At 39.9% G+C, this 17,846-nt stretch overlaps 2 long non-coding RNA genes and 1 pseudogene across 12 annotated transcripts in view, besides 2 other annotated features; 1 reads left to right on the forward strand and 2 right to left on the reverse strand.

Moving 5' to 3' along the window:
- Positions 1-1,140: 1,140 nt before the first annotated feature.
- On the reverse strand, positions 1,141-4,703 carry LOC105376474 (uncharacterized). Its single transcript, XR_930787.3, has 3 exons — positions 3,495-4,703; positions 2,652-2,695; positions 1,141-1,507 (listed from the first exon to the last, which is right to left on the reverse strand). It is a non-coding gene; the product is annotated as an uncharacterized LOC105376474 (long non-coding RNA).
- An 80-nt stretch (positions 4,704-4,783) lies between these two features.
- SVIL-AS1 (SVIL antisense RNA 1) overlaps positions 4,784-17,846 on the forward strand; it is a 78,323-nt gene continuing 65,260 nt past the window's right edge. For 4 of the 11 annotated variants that reach the window (NR_110927.1, NR_110922.1, NR_110926.1 and 1 more), the window contains exons 1-2: positions 4,784-4,908; positions 10,607-10,662. This is a non-coding gene — a long non-coding RNA (SVIL antisense RNA 1). Of the gene's footprint in view, positions 4,934-5,492; positions 5,712-10,606; positions 10,663-15,714; positions 17,623-17,846 lie in introns of those variants that run through there. The other 7 variants (NR_110920.1, NR_110921.1, NR_110925.1 and 4 more) reach the window with 5 other exon arrangements.
- Positions 5,166-5,305: a silencer, noted in NCBI's record as "silent region_2259". NCBI's record gives its function as "represses an Ori minimal core promoter by ATAC-STARR-seq in GM12878 lymphoblastoid cells {active_cell/tissue: GM12878}" and the evidence as "EXISTENCE:reporter gene assay evidence [ECO:0000049][PMID:35858748]".
- Positions 8,153-8,202: an enhancer, noted in NCBI's record as "active region_3195". NCBI's record gives its function as "activates an Ori minimal core promoter by ATAC-STARR-seq in GM12878 lymphoblastoid cells {active_cell/tissue: GM12878}" and the evidence as "EXISTENCE:reporter gene assay evidence [ECO:0000049][PMID:35858748]".
- PTCHD3P1 (patched domain containing 3 pseudogene 1) lies at positions 16,726-17,488 on the reverse strand (annotated as a pseudogene).

Genomic DNA, 17,846 nt, shown 5'->3' on the forward strand with positions numbered 1-17,846 from the left:
TTACCATCATTTTGGGTTTCCGGTCTCAGCACATCATTCGTAGGTTACAATATCCTCATGGTTGCACATTTCTTTCATCTCTTGTCATTCCAGTTGAAGAGATACCATTTGACTTTCTAGAGATGGCTGCATGCAAATATTTAAAACCTTTGAGAGAACATAGCACATCAGGAAAACTATTATTATAACTACTGGGAGCATAATACCAAGAATTTGGAGTATGCTCCTTACCCAGGGTCCCCATAAACCAAACCACATAAAATTAAATAGATTAAAGAATAAGCTAGATGAAGAGTCTGCTTGCTTAAGGGGTCTTTTTATTAATCCCCTACAACTGAATTTTTATAATCTATATTTGATGTATTTCTCCATAGGCCAAAAGTGCCAGCAGCTGCACAAGTACCTTTCTGTTTAGCCAATTCTATTATTTAGCATAACTTTCACAAGAAAATTTAAAGTCTGTTGTGTAAACATAGCCTTTACTTAGAATCTACTATACAGCCTATCATAAGGGATACATTTCTAATTATTGCCTCTTTTATTCTAAACCATGGAAGAAGAACCTAACAAATGATGTCCTTCTGTAAGAGTGAAGGTCTTCTGGCAATGTTCTCTTTAACCCATGATGAGAATTAAGAGGACTTTTGACTAATTATGAGGCAATGAATGTACCATTAAAGTTTCTCACCTACATTGGAACTTTATCTTTTATCTATCACCATATAAGGTTATTTATGTAGAAAGCTGGCTAAAAAAATCCTTCACAAATAAAAGTGCACCCTATAAGTGCACATAATAGACCCCCTTTTTATTTCTATTGTTCATAGAGGCATAAACAAGGAAAAAATATTCAAAGATATAAGAGTCTCATGATAGGCCAGGCACGGTGGCTGATGCCTGTAATCCCAGCACTTTGGGAGGCTGAGGTGGGCGGATCACCTGAGGTCGGGAGTTTGAGACCAGCCTGACCAACATGGCAAAACCCTATCTCTACTAAAAATACAAAATTAGCCAGGTGTGGTGGTACATGCCTGTAATCCCAGCTACTCGGGAGGCTGAGGCAGGAGAATTGCTTGGACCGAGGAGGTGGAGGTTGCAGTGAGCCCAGATGGCACCATTGCACTCCAGCCTGGGCAACAAGAGTGAAACTCTGTCTCAAAACATAAAAATAAAAAAAGAATCTCATGATAGTAGAAGTCTTGATCTGTGATCTTGGGAAAACCTGTTTACATCAAGGATGTCATCTTCTTTTCTGGAGAAACTTTCCTGTTTAGTTTTACCTTGAGGGTTCTAATGGGTGTACAGTTCCAAGGGTGTGGAGGGACCTTTCTCAGTTGTGAGTTTATGAACCCAAGGTTCAAGTTTCCAAAGTTTTGTTGCAGTGTGAATGGCAAGGACAGTCTTTCTCTGATGTTCTGAGAATATCCAATCTTCAGGTTCTAGATTGTGAAGGGGTTGATTGTCCCCAGCGAACCATAAAAAGCTTTCTTTACCTGGTGAAAATATACTGTGGGATGATAATTAACTGTTATAACATAAGACATGCATTGAAACTAACAATCGAATGAAATCTCTTTATGTTTAAATGACCCATCAGGTAGCCAAATGTACGTAAAGGTTTGATTGTCTTCCCAGGAATATGGAACCAAACACTGGTTTTAAACTATTTTCACAATTTATAAGTCATCACATCAATATATTCAATTTGGATTGTTTTATCTGTTCCATGATGAGTCATGGAATGCAGAACCTTTAATAACAACACATTTAAGGACTCAGGAAGGGCCAAGTGGCTGTCCTGGTTCTCCATGAGTCTATGCTTAACATGGGACTTTATGTCCTCTTGAATACCAGTTGTTTCTCCAATTTAGGTGCATAGCACCAACAACTAATGGGTTATTACAGATAATTTGACTTGGACCATGGAGTTCAAATTGTACATGTAAACAATTTCCGTATCGCCTGGTTTAACATGAAAATTTGGCAAAGTATTTTCTTAGTATTTAATTAATTTTTTTGTTCTACTTATGTTAGCACATTTATACAGGGAAATTTGGTTATTTCTGTGGTGTACAATAACTTAATAACCATAATTATGATTGACAACATATACTTAGACATATTATAATTAGTTTAAAAATAATAAGTGCTTAAATCAAATATTTTATTAGAAAGTAAAAAGTGTAATGCCTTTTAGTTCATGTGACTTAAGTAATCTCTTGGAAATAAAGACAGTTTTGAAGATTATTGGTAAAATAAAAATATCTTTAAAAATACAAACATTTGGTCTAAACTATGCAGGTCAGATATTAAGTTTGCTAAATGCTTTAAGGTCATAAACTGCTTCTTTGACTTTTAAAAATTGTTCAATTTACCCGAGAGGTGGAGCTTGCAGTGAGCCAAGATCCCGCCACTGCACTCCAGTCCGGGCGACAGAGCGAGACTCCGTCTCAAAAAAAAAAAAAATTGTTCAATTTCTTTTAGAGACATTAAATTCTAAATAAGGCCTGGGGATATATGGAATTAGCCATGCCCCCTAGCTATTCAAAGGAGGTTATAAAGAAAAGAGATTTTATATAAGAAAGGATCTTTTATGGTAAATTCTTGTCCTAAAGTAAAATAACTGGTTGTTTAAAAATAGGGATGCTTACGACAAGTCAGAAAGTCCAAACATGTTGTAGATGGTCTGTGTATGCTGTGAAAAGATTTATAAAAGAAAATTTATGCACCAAAAGTGACAGTCGCTAAGAATTACCATTATAACATGTAATTGAGACTACTTAAAAAATAGGCTTACATGCAAGGTGTGTGAGGAGAAGGAAATGTGTTTTTGGAAAGAGTTTATAAGAAGGCATGGGAATGTAAATTTTTGCCTAGTTTAGAGGGTTAAAGGATTGTTTAAAATTAAATAAAATAAAGCTAAAGGTTTAAACAAGTTATGGAAGGTTTGTAAAAATTAACTTTGTGAACATAATTCTATGTGTGAAAATATTGACTAATTAAAGCTCTTTCATATGTAAACATAACTCACATAATACATTTAAATACATAGACAGACAGAAGATAAAAGGACTCATTTTCCAAGCCAGGAATTGTACCCTGAACCTGGGCTGCATTGTGAAAAGAAAAAGCATGGCAGCATGGTTACAAGATCAAGCTCCCAAGGACATACAAGACAAGAGGGAAAACTCATCCAGTTTTTTTTTAGAGACCTGCAGCAAAGTTTGTAACTGACCAGCTTGCTGGGCCATCTTAAAAAGCAGGCTTACAGGTATCCTAAGCCTGTGTTCTATCCTAAGTTACCCTTATCCATTATAGAACACAGAAAGACACACAAAGCACACTAGATTCTCTACAGCTTAAGATTAGCCTCACGAATCCTTCATCTCATTAACTAAAACTTTACAGAGGAGATAAACAGTGATTTTTACTATTCATTCAACTAATTTGCACAGAGAAAGAGAGAGGCCAGAAGTCTGGTAAGAAATTCTTACCTTTTGCCAGTATGCCAGGCTTTTGGATTCCTCGGAGATGCTGGAGGAATCTGCATATTTTCAGTAGGATGTGCAGGGAAGGCCTCCTTAAGAAGGCAACATTTGAGCAAAGATCTGAAGTAGGCAAAGAAGCCATTTGGATATCTGGTAAAAGAGCTTTTCCAGATATTTAACAAATAATTTCCTAACTTATTCTACGTTTTATTTTTTGTTTTTGAGACACGGTATCTCTCACTCTGTCGCCCAGGCTGGAGTGCAGTGGTACAATCTCTGCTCACTGCAACTTCCACCTCTTAAGATTCCAGCAATTCTCCTGCCTCCACCTCTTGAGTAGCTAGGATTACAGGTGTGCGCCACCACACCCAGCTAATTTTTGTATTTTTAATAGAGACGGGGTTTCACATGTTAGCCAGGCTGGTCTCGAACTTCTGAGCTCAAATAATCCACCTGCTTAGGCCTCCAAAAGTGCTGGGATTACAGGCATGAGCCACAGCACCCAGCTAAGCTTTATGTGTATGTATTCTTTAATCAAATATCTATTGTATATGACATTAACTGCAGGTATAAGGAGATAAGACAAGATTACGGGTGTTCATTGAGTGCCTGCCATGTACCAGGCACTGTGCTAAGTTTAATGAATGAGGTTTGGTACCTTCACTAATATTTACAACTTAATGCAAGAGGCAAGGTGTAGACATACACCTCCTGCAGTTGGAGTGCAGCAGTTCTTACGAGGAGGAAGAGTTGGTCTGAGGTTGCACCACAAGAAGTTTATATGCACCTGACCTACCTGAAGTCTACACCTCCCTTTCAAGATGAATTAACATGTAAAGGGTGCTCCCCACTCTAACAGAGGGGAAGCCAGCAAGTTAATACCTGATCACACCTTTTATAGAGCACTGTGGTTAACAATCTGCCTTCCCAAAGTAACTCATTTAACCTTCATAACAATAAGAAGCAGTTGTTCTAAGAAGCCTTCGTGTCTCTGTCTGAGATGGAGAAAGGCTCAGAAGGCTGAGCAGTGTGACAAGGTAGAGTTCGACCTAAATTTAAGGTAACAGGATTAAAGCACAGCGCTTTTCGCACAGCAATACAGCTGTTATGAGCATTTGCTGAAATAAAACAGCTTGATATTCTCCTGACTCAGTCCTCTCCCACTGACAAGACAGAAAGAGAGCTGGGTTGAGGTCGGGGCGGATTCAGAGCCCACCGTGTCAGCAAAGACACATAAGGAACTCGCCCTCCGGAAAGACGCGGGGGAATTCTGGGAGTGCGCGGCCTTGGAGCGCGCACATGCGCGGCAGCTCCCGCTGCTGAATAGCTGAGAGGCGCACCCGGGCGGCCAGCTGGGCTCGGAGTGCAGCGGGGTTAGGATGGACGAGGACGTGTTGCACCCTGAAGAGCCTCATCATCGGTGAGAGTGGGGTGGGCAAGTCCAGGTGAGGCGGGCGTGCGGGCTGTGATGAGGGTGGCTGGGCTCTTTCTGCCTCCGTAGCCGCTGTCTCTTGGGCCGCGGTGGGAACTGTCAACCGCTGCAAGTGTCCACGATGGCGGCCGGGCTCGGGCCGGCTCCGCCCGCGCCCTCCTCGGCCTCTGGGCCGCGCTCTCCCGCGACGTTTGCTTTCCTCTCCCCACCCGCGCCTGCCTGTTCCCGGCCTCTGCCACGCCCAAGTTCTCTGGGTCGCTCTCCCTCCTGTGGCGCCGAGAAAACACCATTCCGAGGGCCGCCGCTCGGCCGGCCGGTTTGCTGCGCGGAGCTCAGGGCGTGGCGGGCTGGTTTGGGCCCGAATCCGGCCGGGGGCGCCTCGCCTCGAGCCCCTCGGGGTTCAGGCTGCCTGCCACCCCGAGACCCAGAAGACGTAACTTTCCCGCTTGAGGGTTTCTGTGGGGCCTTCTCTAAATACATAATGTCCTCGGGAAGTTTCGTGATGCCTTAGGACCCATTCCTGGCCTGTTTGGGCGCAGCTTAATGTCGCTTCTTTTACTTTTTTATTAGTCGTCTGTGAAAGAACAGCTGGATCTTGTGAAGTGCTGGAAATTTTCTCTTTAGTGTAAGTGGTCCACGGCTGAAGCAGTCGGACCACCTTTGAAAATAACGTGTAATTGTTATTTCTCATTTTGCCACATCCTGTGGAGACAAAAGATTAGTGTTGTGTCTTTTCATTTTTTATTTTTCTTCTTGGGGAAAATAATATTGACAATGGAGTTGAGTATAAGGTAAGACATGGATCTAGGTGGATGTTGCTAGAGGGTTGTGATTTCATCGAGGTCTTGGAACAGAGTTCAGGTGAAGTCATTCTTGCCATCTGATTATGAGTAGGTTATGTTCAAGGCCGTCCTAATCCTTAAACCACATTTACACTCCAGGGGCTGTAATCAGTTTCATATTTTAGCTATACCTTCTGATACACATATTTTTTTTTTTTTTTTTTTTTTTTTTTTGTGACGGAGTCTCGCTCTGTTGCCGAGGCTGGAGTGCAGTGGCGAGATCTCAGCTCAGTGCAATCTCCGCCTCCCGGGTTCAAGCGATTCTCCTGCCTCAGCCTCCTGAGTAGCAGGGATTTCAGGTGTGTGTCACCACACCCGGCTAATTTTTGTACTTTAGTAGAGACGGGGTTTCACCATGTTGGCCAGGCTGGTCTCAAACTCCTGACCTCAAGTGATCCACCCGCCTCGGCCTCCCAAAGTGCTGGGATTACAGGCGTGAGCCACCGCGGTTGGCTGATACATATCTTTCAAATAACTTGTTATTCATGTAAAATTTTATAAATGGAAGTATCCTTATACAAAGTAGAATGAAAGCTTTCCTCAGGTAACTTTTAAAATTACAAACCTGCACATTCTGCACATGTATCCCAGAACTTAAAGTATAATAAATAAATAAATAAGATTACAAAGTCCTACTTTTTTAGCTACTTCAGGATTTTAAAGCTTACTATGTAATATATTCTGAATTTTTTTTGTATTTTTAAAGTTTGACAATACATTTTTCCAGTATTCCTCACTTAATGTACTCTATGTCTACTGTAGTCAGAGGGGTTTGCACATACCAAGGAATAGAATAATGAAACACTATGGGTAAGCAAACCAGTATGATTTGTGTGTGTGTATAAAAGGGATGAATAAAATTATTTACCTGATCATCTGTTATTGCATGTACATATTTGAGGGTTAAAAAGTTAATATAATAAAAATTGCCTTAATAGGAATTTTATAATCTTGTGATCTTTCTTTTTCATTTCTCTTTTTTTTCCTTGACATGTTGGTTCTCATGTAAGTTCAGGCATATGAAATTGGCATTTTTGAAGTCACGAATGGTTGGTTGTCATTTCTTGTAGTTCAACCCAATACATGAAATTGGGTTGAAATTGGTTAGCACTTTATGTAAATTTATTGCATGGGTGACAAGTTAGGGTGGTTAAAATTTTCTGGAACGTTAACTGGAGTATATAAATGAGATTCGTTCCCCGTCCCCCGTCCCCGCACCACTGCTTTTTTTTTTTTGAGACAGGGTCTTGTTCTGTCACCTGCTGGAGTGCAGTGGTGTGATCACGGTTCACTGCAGCCTTGACTTGCCTGGCTCAATCGATCCTCCCACCTCAGCCTCCTGAGTAGCTGGGACTACAGGGACGAATCACCATGCCTGGCTAGGGTTTTTTATAGAGACAAGGTGTTGCTGTGTTGCCTAGGCTGTTCTTGAACTCTTGAGCTCAGTGGATCTTCCTGCCCTCAATGGATCTTCGCAAAATGCTGGTATCATAGGCATAAGCCACCATACCCTGCTCTACTTTTAAAATTTTTTTTGTAGATGGGATTTCCCTATGTTGCCCAAGCTAGTCTGGAACTCATGGGCTCACGCCATCCTCCAGCCTTGGCCTCTCAGGGTGCTGGGATTACAGGCATGAGCCATGGCACCCAGCTGAGAGTCCCTTTTTAGAATAAGGTCTGTTAAGTGGGATTTATCAGTCTCTCTACTTCACTCCCCAGAAACAAATGTATTTAGGCCTAATCTTTTTTAAACTTTTTCCTCAATGTGTAGTGGTGGATTATCAACTGCTCACTGCAAAATTTTGGCACTGTATTACCTCTTTCGTGAAAGGACTGCATTTAGTGAGAAAGTTGTCTTATTTGTCTGGCTAGATATACATTATTGGCCTATGTGATATGCTATGGAAAAGAACCTTAAACACTTATCTTTCTGGATAAGGTGGGAATAAATGACTCCACTAAAATAGAAGCCTATACTTTTTAAAGTGAGTTAGTACAGAAACATTTGTCATGGGTGTGACCTTAAAGGGTTGTTTTTACCAAGTTTGTTCTGTTTCTTTATAGAGCTGGAGCTAGTGGAAGTGAAATAGCACTCATGTTGGGGAATTATTGCACAACAAAGGATATCTTTAAGCTGAATTAGTGGATTACTTTCTAGTGTATTTCATGGCGTTGGAGTCTAAAGGGTATATGATAGTAATCAGCAGATCAGGATTATGAAACTGGGGCTGCCACTTGTGTGGCCTTGTGTGTGATCCTTGAATGCTCTAGGCCTTCATTTCAAAAGTGAGGGGGTTGGAATAGAAACCTCTCAAACCCTATCTAGTGTTAAATGTATAAGACTGCGATTCTGTAGCTAGGCCCGGTGAGGTAGAGGTAGCAGAGTGTATCAAGAACTGGAAGGGATTAAAGAGACCTATTTTGTAAATTGCTGTCCCTCCTATGCATACCCTAGCCTTGCCATTCGTTTTGGTGAATTTCATTTGTAGATAAAGAAATGCAGATTAGTTATAATCACACTCTGTTTGTTGTAAATTTGGTCTCATCTAAGTGCCATGGTGGTAGTTACTCCTTCCATCTCTACCTCTGCATGGAAAGCATTTTGCTCCTTTAACTTTGAAATATGAAGGTGTAAATATACAATATTGTAAGAATGGTGCTTCTACCAGGTGCGGTGGCTCATCCTGTAATCCTAGCTACTCAGGAGGCTGAGGCAGGAGGATCACTTGAGGCCAGGAGATCGAGACCAGCTTGGGCAACATAGCAAGACCATGCCTCTAAAAAACTGAAAAATAAAAAAATTAGCCGGCCATGGTGATGCACACCTGTCGTGCCAGTTACTTGGGGGGCTAAGGTGGGAGGATTAGTGAGCTGTGATTGTGCCACTGCATTCCAGCCTGGGTGACAAAGTGAGACCCTGTCTCTTTAAAAAAAAAAAAAAAAAAGGGTCCTTCTTAATCATTTTGAGATTGCCCATTCCTTTCAAAATGTAATAGAGAAATGGACTCTCTGCCCCTTTCAAAGTCTAATAAATAGAGAAATGGACTCTCTGCCTAGAAAAATGCACACATGGAATTTAGAATACATTTTGGGCTACCAGGGTACCCCTGGCTAAGATCTGATGTGTACCCAGAGCCTGTATTAAAATTTGTTGCTTCACACCATGCCACCAATTCCCTGCCTCTCCTGACAAAGTACCATTAATGACAATGGCTGTTGTAAGGATTAGCAATCATGAGAGAAAAACCTCTGGCTTTTTGTCTGCACATTGCCATATGTTCAATAAATAATACCCAATATCATTATTATTACTTGTATTATTATTATTATTATTATTACAACTACTCTACAAGGTTATATTAACTTATGTTTTTGTAATAATATTTTCTGTGGTGACCACGTGTAGATATGTATCTTTTCTATTCTTAGATTATGGGTAACTGTTGGGAGAGAAGAAAATTTTTGTAAGTTTTATTTTAGAGTCTTATTAGTGCTGTCACCTAACTTATGTTTGAAGTAAGTAAATATAGTTAAGATGTGAAATAGAGAAATCTTGAATTTGACTCTCCTGTTTTACTTTGATTCTGTGGTGCTCGTTTTATGGTAAACACAAGAAAACAAAACCAAGTAAGGCAGAGTTAATCCTTCAAATATAATTAATGACACTGGGTTTGGAAACTACCAGGAGGTCATTATGTTTTGCAGAATACTCTGTGGACAAAACATATCTCTAGCAGCAGTAATCACAACCTTATGAATATTAGAATCTAATTAGAAATTAGAATATTAGGAATATTCATCAGATTTTTCTATAATTTAGACATCTGATGACTGTTTCTTTGATTTTATTAATACAAGCAGGTCAACAGGACAGACTTATACTTTAGAAGTTAACAAGTGAAGTTGAGTGATTTTAAAATTTAGGGCTTTAACATTAGCTTTTATTTTTGAAGAGCTTCTAATAACTGACACTTCTGCTTCATAGTTAGTAAAATAATTCTGGAAGATGAAAAACCTTAGAGTATCCTTCTAATCTGGTGTCTTTTGCTTTTATCCTTCCTTTCTAGTTTCCTACCATTTCCTAGGTTTAGTCCTTTGTTCTCTCCTGCCATAACCGTGGCAGTTTTCTTCTGTTGATTTTTCTTCCATTTTTTGTTGGCATTAACTTTTCAAAACAAAGAGCAGTTCTTGTCATAACTTTGTTTAAAAGCCTTCAATAGCTTCCAGTTGCCTACTTGGTTTTGTAAACCCTACCTGGTGTTTGCCTGAGTATACCTACTCTGTCCTGTGATCTTTTTTTTTTTTACCTCTCTTTTTACTGTATCTTTTCTTCCCACTTAGGTGGTAGCCATACTGCCTGTTATAGAATGCTAGGCTTTGATATCTTTCTGTTTGTGCTTGAATTTAAAGTGGATTACACATCAGATTTTTTTAAGTTACTTTACTTTGTTGCATTCCAAGAAACTTTATTTTTTCTCTTTTCATCCATGTCAATTAAAGCATGACATGTTGCTAATATCAGTGTCTCAGGACATACCGGAACAGTTAAAAACAACAACAAAAACCCCCACCTTTTGTACTTGGGGGATTGGGTAGGAGAGCATGGGGAATATATTTAATAGTAAACTACTTTGCTCTTGGCAGTTTTTAAATTGCCTTTCTAGTAATTTAATTCTTCTGTGTATACCTGCTCTGAGGCAGTATTTCTAGGAGCAGGCCTCCATCAGTTATTTTTATCTGCATTTAATAATTTGTGACTGGATATAATAATCATGAACACACTTATCATATGATTAGAAAGAAAAATTCTAATTCCTAACCTGTCTTTTTAATATCTCTTTCAGCCTGCTCTTGAGGTTCACAGATGATACCTTTGATCCAGAACTTGCAGCAACAATAGGTGAGCCTGTGTTTAAAAATTCAATAGAAATGTCTAATATTTTCTTGCCTTTGGGCTTTTTTATCTAAATCCTTCTACCTTCCTCTTACCACGCCACCACCTCCATGTCTGTTGACATTTTATTTGTCCTTCAAGATTTAACTTTGGTATCGTTAAATCTCTTGAAGCCTTTCTAGATCTTACCAAGAGAAAATAATTTCCTTATCTGTTGTATCATGGGACTTTATTAAAACTACTGATATTATGGTTATCTATACACACATTTCTTTCCTCTATTATGGATTGTCTTTTATTTTGCAATATACAACAGTTATTTGAGTACTTACTGTATACCAGGCACTGTTACTAAGAGGTGGGGGTATAATAGTGAATAACATAAACTTGGTCTCTGTCATCATGGACCTAACAGTAAAGTACATTAATTGTGTATGTTCAGCATTTGCTACAGTGTTTGACATGTATTCTGATCTTTACATATGTATTCATATTAGTTATTAAGGACTGTTAGGAGCAATGATACTTAAATGCCTTTTAAAGATAAAATTTAGATGGCCTGAAAGTGGTTAGTCACACTAACTTATGAAAATATATGAGAAGATAGAGATAAGTATTTTGGTGTCATGTGTTTAGACCATAGACAACAACGTAAAGGAATGAAAAGACCGCTTGGAATAGTTGAAAGGTAGCTGAGCTGAGTCAGAGCTAGATAATAGTCTTGGCTTTGCCTTGAATTAGGTGTAATCTTGACTTACTAACTTCATCTGTAAATTGGGAGGTTTTGGGGAGAGAGAATACTTTTTTTTCCCTGAGCTTTAAAATTTAAATCATAAAATTTTAAATTTGATGATCTGATGAGAGTATAGTAAAGATGATCCTAGCAGTATTATTAGGGAAAGCAAATAGTTTATCTTAACTGCCTTTATTTGTTTACATTTATTGTATGTCTATTTTTTCAGACTCATATATCTGTAAAAATAGCAAAAATAATTCTTGTATATCCTACTAAATTACTCCATCCAAATGTTAATATTTGTCACATTTGCTTTATCATTCTCTCTATGTATACACACACAGTATTCTTTTAAAAAAATGCATTTTTTTCTGGTTTTTTAAAATGAATTATTTGAGAGTGGATTGCAGACATGATGTCTTTAAAATGTCTACATACTTTGTATATTTCTTAAATCAACATAGATACAACTCTATTGTCTATACACAGATTTTATCAGTTATCCCATTAATGTCCTACATAGCAAAAGACAAATAATCGTTTTGGGTTCAGGATCATACATTGAATTTGGTTATTTCTCTTCAGTCTCTCTTTTTTTTTTTTTTTGAGATGGAGTCTCGCCCTGTCACCCAAGCTGGAGTGCAATGGTGCAATCTCAGCTCACTGCAACCTCCGCCTCCTGGGTTCAAACGATTCTCCTGCCTCAGCCTCCGAAGTAGCTGAGATTACAGGCACATGCCACTGCGCCCAGCTAATTTTTGTATTTTTTTTTTTTTAATTTTTGTATTTTTAGTAGAGATGGGATATCACCATGTTGGCCAGGCTGGTCTTGAACTCCTGACCGCAGATGATTCACCCACCTCGGCCTCCCAAAGTGCTGGGATTACAGGCATGAGCCACTGCGCCTGGCCACTCTTCAGTCTCTTTTAATCTGAACAGTTCTTCAGTCTTTGTGTTTCCAGGGCCTTGACATTTTTGAAGAGTAAATAATTATTTTGTAGAATGCTGCTTAATTTACATATATTCGGTGTCCTTATGGTTGGATTCAGGTTATGCACTTTTGGCAGGAATTCCACAGAAGTGTTTCTCAGAGCACAGTGTCAGGAGGCACATGATGTCTGTTTGTCCCATTTACTGGTGTTGGGACTTTGGTTACTATTGGGTGATACATGCCAACTTTTTCCTCTGTGAAGTTATTATTTTTCCTCTTGTAATGAATATATTTCTTTTGGAGAGATACATCGAAACTTTATTAGATATCCTCCTTTTCATCGTATTCTTTGCCCTCTTATTTTAGCATCCATTGATATTTTTTGCCTGTGACAAGCGAGAAGGACAGTATATGATCCTGCTGTTCTAACTGTGGTGGCTATCAAATGACAATTTTTTTCAAATGCCATCACTCTGTCTACATATCTTATTTGGAATTCTGTAAGGAAGGGCTCTTTGTTTTATTTTTAAATTTGAGACAGAGTCTCACCCTGTCACTCAGGTTGGAGTGCAGTGGCATCATCTAGGCTCACTGCAGCCTCCACTTCCCAGGTTCAAGCAATTCTCCCACCTCAGCCTCCAGAGCAGCTGGGACTACAAACGTGTGCCACCATGCCGGGCTAATTTTTGTATTTTCAGCAGAGGTGGGGTTTCACCATGCTGCTGGCCAGGCTGGTCTCGAACTCCTGGCTTCAAGTAATCTGCCCACCACAACCTCCCAAAGTGCTGGGATTACAGGTGTGAGCCACTGCGCCCAACCAAGAGCTCCTTTTTGTTTTTCTTTTTTTGTGAATTCGGATTCTTTATATTCAGGAGTTTTACTTAAACTTTGAATCTGAAAGAAACTTTAGGAGGAGCTCATAGATTTGTGGGAAGAAGCAAATCTACATTATTTTCTCTCTTCTAAAATCATATTCCATGTATTTTGATCTTTTACTGAATTTTAACACATTGTTTCATCACTAACATAAAGTGTTTCAATAGTTTTTGTAACTCACACACAAATACTGGATTTAAAAGTTATATACCTGAGTATATTTTTGTGGCAGGTGGTCCACTTTACATCACTTTCCAGACAACTGGAATTTGAGACAATGTCTGTGACAGCAGTCCCTTTGTTTTCACCTGGCATATGTTCTCATCATACTGCTTGCAGTCATATCATGCTGCAGGTAAAAAGCTTTGATTGGTTTTTAAATCTCTTACTTTGTGAAAAATATTTTATTGTGGTAAAATATATATGACATAAAATATGCTATTATAACAACTCTTACATGTATAATTTGGTGGCATTAATTACATCCACACTGTCATGCAGCCATCACAACTATCTGTTCCCAAATATTTTTCATCACCCCAAACAGGAACTCTGTTATCATTCTGCAGTAACTCCCCATCACCACCAGCCCCCCATTGCCAGTTAACCTTTAATCTGCTTTGTCTCTGTGAACTTTCCTATTCTAAAGATTTCATATAAGTGGAACCGTATATTTGTCTTTTTGTGACTGGCTCATTTCACTAGGCATAATGTTTTCAAGGTTCATCCTTGTAGCATGTATCAGACTTCATTCCTTTTTATGGCTGAATAATACTGAGTCCTCCAACTCTGTTCGTCTTTTTCAAGATTATTTTGGTCATCTGAGACTCCTTGCAATTCCATTTGAATTTAAGGATTGGCTTCTCTATTTCTGGGGGGAAAAATGGTTGTCAGAATTTTGATGGGGATTGTGTTGAATCTGTAGATTGTTTTGAATAGGACTGGCATTTTAGCAATATTGAGTCTGCCGACCCAGGAACTAAGGATCTTTCCATTTACCTAGGTCTTTTTAAGTTTCTTTTACCAATGTTTGGTAGTATTCAGCATGCAGGTCTTTCACTTCCTTGGTTAAATTTATTCCTAAGCATTTTATTTGTTTAGCGCTATTTAAATGGAATAGCCTTCTTAATTTCCTTTTTAGATTGTTCATTGTACATGTACAGAAAAACAACTAATTTTTGTGTGTTGGTCTTGTATCCTGAAGCTGTGCTGAATTTATTAACTCTAGTAGTTTCCTTCTGGATTCACATGTATGTACTTCTAGCTACTCGGGAAGCTGGGGCAGAAGGATCAGTTGATCCAAGGAGTTTGAGGCCAGCCTGGAAAACACAGCAAGACACCTACAGGTGTGTGCCCCCACATCTGGCTAATTTTTGTATTTTTAGTAGAGATGGGGTTTCACCAGTTTGCCCAAGCTGGTCTCGAACTCCTAGGCTCAAGCACTCTACCTGCCTCAGCCTGCCAAAATGCTGGAATTACAGGCATGAACCACCGTGCCCAGTCTAAAACTGTGATATCTTGTTCTCATTAATAGCTGTAGAAATTATAACTTTTGGCTGGGTGCGGTGGCTCACTCCTATAATCCCAGCACTTAGGGAGGTCGAGGTGGGCAGATCACCTGAGGTCAGGAGTTCGAAACCAGCCTGGCCAACATGGTGAAACCCTGTCTCTGCTAAAAATACAAAAAACCAGGTGTGGTGGTACACACCTGTAATCCCAGCTACTCAGGAGGCTGAGGTGCGAGAATCACTTGAACCTGGCAGGTGGAGGTTGCAGTGAGTTGAGATCGCACCACTGCACTCCAGCCTGAGCGACAGAGCAAGACTGTCTCAAAAAAAAAAAAAAAAGAAAAAAGAAAAGAAAAAAAAATTATAACTTTTTGTAAATTTTTATTAGGTTGGTGTCTTCTACTATTTCAGTTGCATAAATATCATTTGAGGTGGGCTTAGTCTTTGAAGGCTCTTTCCAGCAGGTGTCTCTTTCACCAGGCTTATTTATAAGCCTTTATTTTTTTTTTTTTTACAGTAAAAGAAAGTCTATAATATATCAACTGTGCCAAGGGAAGACAACAGTAAACTTACAAGTCTCTTTCCAGCAATCTAAATTAGTAATTCAACAGGACAAAATAAAGACATTTTTAGACAAGAGCTTTATCTCTCTGTGCTGCCTCCTGGTTAATTTCCTTGGTTTTATCTTTCAGTGTATTAATTCTTTCCAGCCGTATTCAGTCTGCTGCTCAGTATGACCAACGGGCCTTAGATTCTCTGTGTGTGTAATTTTTACTTCTAGAAGTTCTATTTGGTTCTATTGCAAATCGACTTCTTGATTTCTACTTTATACTTTTATGTCCTTAATTTGTTTAATTACACTTATTTATAGTCTTGTTCAGATTGATCAAATCTGGTTGCTCACATTTTCTGTTCTCTCTCATTGATCATGTGTTTTATTATTTGGAATTATGAGCTCATCTTTAGTGAGAATCTGCAATGATTTGATTTAGGCATTTATCTTCCAGCTCTGTTCTGTATTTGCTTCTTCCAGACAATGCAGGAATCACATGAACCTGTCCATCCACAGATAAAGTGGTAAAGAAACTGCCGTATTAGATACATGATGGTATACTCTTCAGCCATAAAGCTTCGGGAAACCCTGTCATCCGCAACCACGTGGAGAAACCTGTCCATCCACAGATGAAGGGATCAGGAAGCTCTGGTATATATACTGAAGGGAAATGCTTTTTGGCTACCAAAATAATGAAATTTTGTTGTTTGGAGCAACACAGATGAACCTGTCCATCCACAAATGAAGACATCAAGAAACTCTAGTATGTACACAAGGCAAAACACTTCAGCTATCAAAATCATGACATTATGTCACTTGGAGCAACACAGTTGACCCGCCAAGGCAGCCTCTTCCTCCATAGATGGATGAACGCTGTGGCCGCTGCTCCTGCCTGGGCCATGCCCTGATGCTGCCAACACCACTGCTCCTCTATTTATAAGTCTTAGTAGAGTTGCTGACCCAGCAATAACTGAACAGCTGATATGTACCTCACACTAAGCCAGGCGCTTCATATGTATCTAACTTGAAAAATGCTGAGCTAGTTACCTTAACACCATTAACTTTTACTTAAAAGTTTGTTTTTCTTTTTTAATCCCAGTGAGCTCCAAACAAGTTTTAGGAGGCTCCCCAAAACCAGTGAAGACTTTAACTAAAAGTAGAATTTCAAAGTATTAGAAACCAAACCCCAAAATTAAATGTGAAGATCAGTGTCTGTACTGAGCTGGCCCATCTGGTGGACACAGGATTTGCGTTATCGACTGCAATGTTACCCAGGATTCACGATTTCTAGCATCTGTCAGGGTTAAGAAAATTGGATTGAGTACCAAATACAGCAGAGCAAACCCGGCTTTGAGGCAAGGGCCCCATCAAGTAGTCATGCAGTACTTTTGTTAGGGTTCTGGGTGCAAATCTTCCTCGTCCCTCCCACCTTCTCCTGGCCTCCTTGTAAACCCAAACCGCCAGGTACCTCAATTTTCTTCAAGACCAGGCTGTTCTTAATGTTGGTAAATTGGTCAAGGAAATGGGTGAGCCACTGCTTGCTCTGCACATCGTCCTCAGAGTGCTCGGTCTTCAGGCAGTACAGCAGCTGCATGGCTTTGGCCTGCAGGAGTAAGTGGCCCATTCCTAGGCTGTCCCCAAAGATGTGTCCTCTGAAGAAGCTGGTCAGGTAGAGGGGGTGTCCACTATGGTTATAGATGGGGAAGGAGATGCTGCCCAGGTCGAGCGTTTTGTCCACCTGCCAGGTGTACAGGAGTGGGTTGGGGGCACCACGCAGAGCATCTTGTACCTCGCGCACACCTGCTGGTACTGGAGCTGGCTTGCGTTTCCCTGTGCCACACGCAGATCCTGCACTGTACTGTCCAGTCAACTGACTTCAGCAAAGATGTCTGGGTTCAGCAGCGAGTTGCTGTGTGAGGCCACCAGAATGGAGGTGATATCGGCCTCAGTGCTCATCCTGGAGGTGGAGAAGTGGTCAGAGTCCTCTGTGGTGAAATGGCCCTACACCAAAGTGGGAGACATTCAGAATCGAGGCGAAATTGGCCTCAGTGCTCCTCTTGGAGGCAGAGAAGCAGTAGGAGTCGGTGGTGAAATGGCCCTGTGTGAATGTGGAAGACCAGCAGATTGGAGGTGGAATTGGCCTCAGTGCTTGTCCTGGAGGTGGAGAAGCGGTCAGAGTCCTTGGTGGTGAAGTGGCCCTGCACAAAACGTTGCTCCCCCTTGGCCGGTGAAAGAATAAAAGAAAGCTGGCCACTTGCATTTCCGTTTCAGTTTATAGAATACATGTTTTGGAAATAGTATCTTCTAGATCTGTCTTTTTCTCTTCTGATTTAACTTAGTAAAGCTAAGTTTTATCTCTTCATAGTCTTGCTTTTGTTTCAAAAGCTTTTATGAGATTTGTTTACTGTCTGTGGCTATATGGCAGACAATTTGTTCAAGTGGCATGCCTCCTCTTTCTCACATTGACCTCCTCAGGAGGAGTTTTTCAAGGGCAATGAGTCTTCTCTCTGAGATAAGAATAGTAGCCAGAATTAAGAGGGTAAAGTGCATTGTGGAATTAAGTACTGATTCCAGTGGAAACTCACT

The sequence above is a fragment of the Homo sapiens genome, chromosome 10, assembly GCF_000001405.40.
Source record: "Homo sapiens chromosome 10, GRCh38.p14 Primary Assembly".
Taxonomy (NCBI): Eukaryota; Metazoa; Chordata; class Mammalia; order Primates; family Hominidae; genus Homo; species Homo sapiens.